The sequence below is a fragment of the Homo sapiens genome, chromosome 2 (genome assembly GCF_000001405.40).
Source record: "Homo sapiens chromosome 2, GRCh38.p14 Primary Assembly".
NCBI lineage: Eukaryota > Metazoa > Chordata > Mammalia > Primates > Hominidae > Homo > Homo sapiens.
The window spans coordinates 121127707-121133614 of NC_000002.12; the positions used below are offsets into that span (position 1 = coordinate 121127707).

General features: G+C 52.6%; 2 annotated features.

Annotated features, from left to right (window-relative positions):
- Positions 4312 to 4950: an enhancer, noted in NCBI's record as "H3K4me1 hESC enhancer chr2:121889594-121890232 (GRCh37/hg19 assembly coordinates)". NCBI's record gives its function as "activates a minimal SCP1, AML or CMV promoter by ChIP-STARR-seq in naive H9 embryonic stem cells {active_cell/tissue: H9 hESC(naive)}" and the evidence as "EXISTENCE:reporter gene assay evidence [ECO:0000049][PMID:30033119]".
- Positions 5407 to 5908: an enhancer, noted in NCBI's record as "H3K4me1 hESC enhancer chr2:121890689-121891190 (GRCh37/hg19 assembly coordinates)". NCBI's record gives its function as "activates a minimal SCP1, AML or CMV promoter by ChIP-STARR-seq in primed H9 embryonic stem cells {active_cell/tissue: H9 hESC(primed)}" and the evidence as "EXISTENCE:reporter gene assay evidence [ECO:0000049][PMID:30033119]".

Here is a 5908-nt window from a genome sequence, read left to right on the forward strand (position 1 = left end):
CGCTCTCTTCTGGCTCCTCTGGCCGCAGAAGAGTCTCCTCCATTTGTGTGGTAGACCAAGCCCTATGGACCATCCCTTCCCATGTCCAAGCTCAGACCTCACAGCTCCCCTGAAACCAGGCTCTGCCTGGAACATCCCAGCCTCTTTCTGCCATATGTGTTGAGTGCTGAGGACATTTGGGGTTTGCTCTGCTGGAGCTGTTTTCCTGACCTCGCCCTCCCTCTGTTCTCAGCAACCAGTTCCTTGCCCTGCAGCTCTGAGTCGAGGTCACTTTCCTTTGGCGAAGCTGCCCCTTCTGTCCTGGGTGCGCCCATGGCCACCATAGCCCATCCACCTGAGTGTGCGACCTCTACCTGTACTTCCTGCCTCCTTGCCTGGTGCCTCCACTGGCCTGGGAGGGTCTCACTCGTCCTTCCACATGCTGCTGCCTAGGGGATGGGGCTTATTCACTGCTGTCTCCCTGCACCAAGCACAGCTCCTGAACTAGAGAAGGTGGCCAACAAGGTGCTCCTGGGGAATGAATGAATAAGGAACCCCTAAGAATGCATTCGTGTGAATCCTACTCCAATCAAGTCCTCTGCTTTGAAGAGTTGTTTTTGTTTTTTATTCTGTTTAACTCTTTAATCCCCTGGTGATATTGCCCTCTCCTAAACTTCTGTAGGATCTGCTGAGATACTGCTTATTTGACCCTTTCCCTATACAGGTGATTTTAAAAAGCTGTGTGAGCAAGAAAGTAAATGAATGGGGGAGAAGGAGAAATGAAAATTTAAGCTGAAAACAGGGCACAGTCAATACATAAAAACATGCATTATAATGCTAGAAGTGGGCTACTTATGTGATCCTGAGCTTCCTACTGGTCAAAGAGGGAAAATGGCCAGCCTCAGGGTGCTCAGATTCTATAAGATATAAACAAGCCAGTTATTTCAAAACATAGACTTTCCTGAATCTGAAATCTGAAAGTAATTTCTCTTGTGGTTTCAAATAAAGGTGGTCTAATGGGATGAGGGACAATGTCTTGACCACATGGTGAATTTCTGTAGCTCCTTCTTAAATAGCATCTTCAAAGCACTTGGTTGGCATTGTGGCAAAATGTAGCAGCAAACTCACCCATCCAGGCAGGGGTCAGTCTAGGCAATACTGGCTTATCAGAAACAAGGTGTGGTAAAAGCAATGAGCTCACAGACCCATACGGAAGCTCCTTCTCAAAGAAAATCCAGGAAGTTGCTGACAGCAACGATGACAGGCGCCGCTGGAGGCAGTATTGCCCATCTCTAGAGGGGAGATGCCTGGGAGGAAGGGCAGTAGGCATTTGGATGAGAAGGTTCTATTGTGTTTATTTTCTTAAAGGAAGGTCTTAGTTTATGATGCTGTGTCTTGTGTCTGGGCAGGTGCCTGTTCTGCAAGTACAGAATTCCAGCACTGCAACTTTGCGGCTTGGGCAAGCTACATTGCCACTATGAACCTCAGTCTCCTCCTCTGGAATAGAGACTGGTAAAAATTCTCGCTATACAGGTTGGCTGGGAAATGCTAAGTCTTACCCTCATGAAAAGACAAGAAATTGCAACATGAATCTGATGGTGAAACCCTGGCGCATGTCTCTGGCATGGACATGGGATGCTCTCTCTGAACCAGCATCCCAAGCGCAGTCCCCATGATTCTTCAAGCCCTCCTGGGCCCCAGGTAGGAAACCAGACATGCAGGCTTCCCTGAGCAGGTCAGGGGCCTGCCTGCCTTGACTGGCAAGCCTGGAAAGGAATTTTAATCGAAGTTCATTAACATTTTTCTCCTACTTCTTGAGGATTTGCTGTGTGAGTTTAGAGGAATGTTATCTCTGATAAGATGAAGACAGGGCCTGTGGACAACAGCTCCCTTGCTCTCAGGGATCCCCTGTTAGATGCTAAGCATGTACAACCCCCGCCCCTCCGCCGCCACCAGCTAGTCCCTGCACCCACTTTCTGGCCCAAGCTATTGGGGCTGTTAGTTCAGGCCTCCTAAGAGCTGTCCCCTTGGCACTTCTGTGAGCTAGAAGGGTGGGAACCGCAGTGCTGGATCTGTCTGCAGCCGCCTGTGGCTATGGAGCCACATTTGTTCAACTCCTGATCCATCTGCTAGCAGTGAACCTGCTGGACACCACCTGGGCACTTATTCAGGGTCACAGCCCCGTGAGGTCAGCACTGTGCTTTCCTGGATTTTTCAGAGGAGGGAACTGGGGCCTGTCTGTGGCCCAGACCTCAAGCCCAGCAGGTGACTGGAGGCCCCGCTGGCACAGCCACTCATCCTCATGCTGGCAGCCGTGGGGTGGCCTGTGGGGTACACTCACATGGGCACAGATGGGTCACAGCCATCAAGCAGATGAGCTGGCACTCGAGCCCAGAGCTCAGGCCCTGTGCCTCCAGGCTGCTGGGCTGTGTCTAGAGCTGCACCAGCCAGTGTGGCAGCTGCTAGACTACACACTAGCCCTATTCCCAGCCCTCTGTAGCCACATCTGGCTACCATGTCCTACAGTGCAGATGTAGAACATGTATGCCCATGATGGCAGGAAGTTCCAGTGCACAGTGCTGAGTAGAGTGCCTTTCCACTTGTTGGGGGAGGTTGGGGGAGGATAAGGGGCTTGGTGACCAAGGTATCGGGGGTAGGGAGTGGCACACACCTGTGGATGCATCACCAGGTCAAGGCTGCTGGACCCTGGGCCTATCTGGACCTACCCAGCCTGCCTCAGCCTTGCTCCCCTGAGCCAGGATCACCCCCAAAGCCCTGTGCTTGCCCCCTGCCCTCAGGAAGGTTGGGGTTGAGCAACTGCTTCCAGTGATACAAGGTCAGCAGTTTCTAGCCAAGCAGGTCTGGGCTGGCCCTCCTGTTTGCAGAGCTTAGCACCCCTGTGGTCCCATGGCCAGCTGGGCCTTCACCCTCCAGATGCAATCAGGCACCGCGGCCCAGCGCCCTGACTCCATCTGCACATTTGGGACCCTCCTCCCACCTCTCAGCCAGAGACAGGCAGCTGATAATGAGGACAGATCACAGAGAGCCTGGCAGAGCCCCCTGCTTCTGTCAGGGATGGCCCTGGTCATGGCTTTCATCTTCCACAAGCATGTGTGTATGCATGTGTATGTGTGTGTGTGTGTGTGTGTGTGTGTGTCTGTGTATGTCTATGTCTATGTTTGTGTGTGCATGTGTCTGCGTGTATCTCTGTGCATATGCATATGTGTGAGTGTTCCTGTGTGCATGTGTGTGTGTGCATGTGTGTCTCTGTGCCTGTCCTGGGCAGGGTTTGTGGGCTGAGGACACTCTCTCTCATTCCCCTTCAGTATGTGTTACGGGCAGGGGAGCCTTTGCATCCCAGTCTGTCCTGCAAGCAAGGGCTAGGGCTTTAAAGAGTTCCTGCACAGGCCGGGCACAGTGGTTCACACCTGTAATCCCAGCACTTTGGGAGGCCAAGGCAAGAAGGTCACTTGAGTCCAGGAGTTTGAGACCAGCCTGGTGAACACAGTGAGACCCAGCCTCTACAAAAAATAAAAAATAAATAAATTAAAAAAAAAAATTAAATAAATAAATAAATTAGCTGGGCACTGTGATGTGTCCCTGTAGTCCCAGCTACTCAGGAGGCTGAGGCAGTAGGATGGCTTGAGCCTGGGAGGTAAAGCCTGCAGTGAGCTGAGATCATGCCACTGTATTCCAGCCTGGGTGATAGAGAAAGACCCTGTCTCAGAAAAAAAGAGTTCATGAAGTAACCTCCAGTATGTGAAAGATGATAATCCTGGCCTCAGGTCCAGGTAGGCCACATAGTAAAATGGTGACAGTAAAGATGCCTATTGCATAGCCCCACTAGGGGATGTAAAGCGCTTGCATAGCGCTTGGCGCATGCTCCGTAAATCTTGGCTAGTGTTGTATTTTAAGATCTCCCATCATTAAATGCCACTAGGAGCTGGAATTCTGCAAAACACTTTATACACATTCTCTCCTCTAATCCTGCCTGCACCGTAAGAGGTGCGTGTTATGACTGCCTTGGTCCCATTGCCATAGGCTGATTCCTCACCCTCGGCACTCCCGGATTCCCAGGGAACATCCGTGGCCCCGTGGGAAGAAACTTGAACGCTGGGCAAGGAGAGGGAGCTCAGGGGTCTTCGTTTCTCAGTTCTGTGACCACCACGCAGCACCTACTGGGTACCAGGCCTCCGGGGCTGTGTGCAGGAGTGGAGGAAGAGTAAGATTCCAAGAGAATGATCCCAGAGAGGTCCCTGCTGAGAAAAGAAGGCAGCAGGGAGCCGGCCAGGGCCACCCTGGCCACAAAGGCCAAGACCAAGGACTGCTGGGTCAACCTAGTAAGGGGAGCAGCTGGGGCTTTGGGGCCGGGCTGGGCAGAGTGTGTGCTTATATGACGCTAGGGCTCCAAATACCCTTCCTCTCTGAAAAATCCCCTACCTGTCAGCTGCCCAGGGCCCAAATTCCACCCCTTAAAATGCATCCCCCTTTAAGGCTGGGGAATTCTGTCTCCAGATAGCGCCTGTCTCTGTAGAAGGCAGCTGTCTTAAATTGGAGGGAGCTCCCAGCAAGCGGCAATGCCATCCGTCGTGGGGAAGAGAAGGAGACCCTGCTGGATGGCGTTGATGAGCTGAGGGAGAGAAAAGGGTGGTGATGCCAGGGTGTGGGGCTGATCCCCGAGTGGGACCCGGTGAGACGGCCACAGTGCGCCCCAGGAGCTGCCCTTCAGACACTGGGGACTCAGTGCTGGCAGGTGGCAGCAGCCACAGCACAATGACTTCATTTTCAGATTATTATTATTTAAACACGGAAAAACTAAGAAAGACAAAAGAAGTTTGTTTTGGCAACTTGACTTTAAGCTTCAGGAAAGTCAGCGGCCTGGGTCTGGGGCTGGCTGCCTCAGGGACCTGGCTGTCTGTGGGGGTTGGGGGTGCAGGGGGGGATGGGGCCACGTGGGATTGGATGCAAAGGGCAGGATGCAGTCACACGGCCACTTGTTTTGCCCACAAGATACTAAATGACTGGGATGACTGATTCTCTTTTTTTTTTTTGTAACTTCACTAGCTGGTGGACTGAAATATTGTTTTGGGTGTTTTTTTTTTCTTTTTTTTTGCTTTGGTTTTGCTTTGTTTGCTGTGATTCCTGGTGGAAGAATGCTGGTTCTAGCTTTGGCTCTGCCATCCCCGTGTAGTGTGGCAGGAAGCAATGCATTTCCCTTTCTGGGCCTCGTCTCCTGCCCTGTGCACGTGGAGGGCTATATTACAGACTCTCAGTCTGTTACTGCAGGATCCACCCAGGCTCAGCCACCCCCACCCCAGCTATCAGGAGGCGCCCTCATCTAAAAGGCCCATTCTCCCACCTCCTCACCTTCGATTCCGATGAACACATGTTCCAAGGTTTTCCCCAAGTCCTCCCTTCCTCAGAGAGCTGGCCTGGACCCTTCCAGCTACTCACCATCCGGATCACTCCATTCCCTGCCTCCACATTTCACAAGCAGCAGAGGAGAGGGTTGGAATCCAGACCCTGTCTCTTACCTGCTGTGTGATCCAAGGCAAGTCACTTGCCCTCTCTTAGCATCAGTCTCTGCAGCTGAAGACTGGGGCCGTGTTATCACCATGAAGGTGTGTGACCTGGGTATGTCCCTGGTGCACCATCAACCTGAAAATGTCAGCTCCTGGGAGCTTCATCCCCCACCTGCCTCTCCTTTCTCAGCTGCCCTGCTCTGCCCTGCAACTCAGGTAGAAGCTCCAGGGCAGCAACAGTGTCTCTACAAAGGGGTCAGTGAGAATTCTTGATGAGCGTCTGGGCAGGGCCAGGACTTGGCAAGGCAAGGGAGGGGCCCTGGGCGTAACATTGAAGGAGGCGCCCACTCTGGGGCTCTTGCAAGGGCAGGGTCAGCTTACCTACCTCACTTAACGCGGCCCTGCAT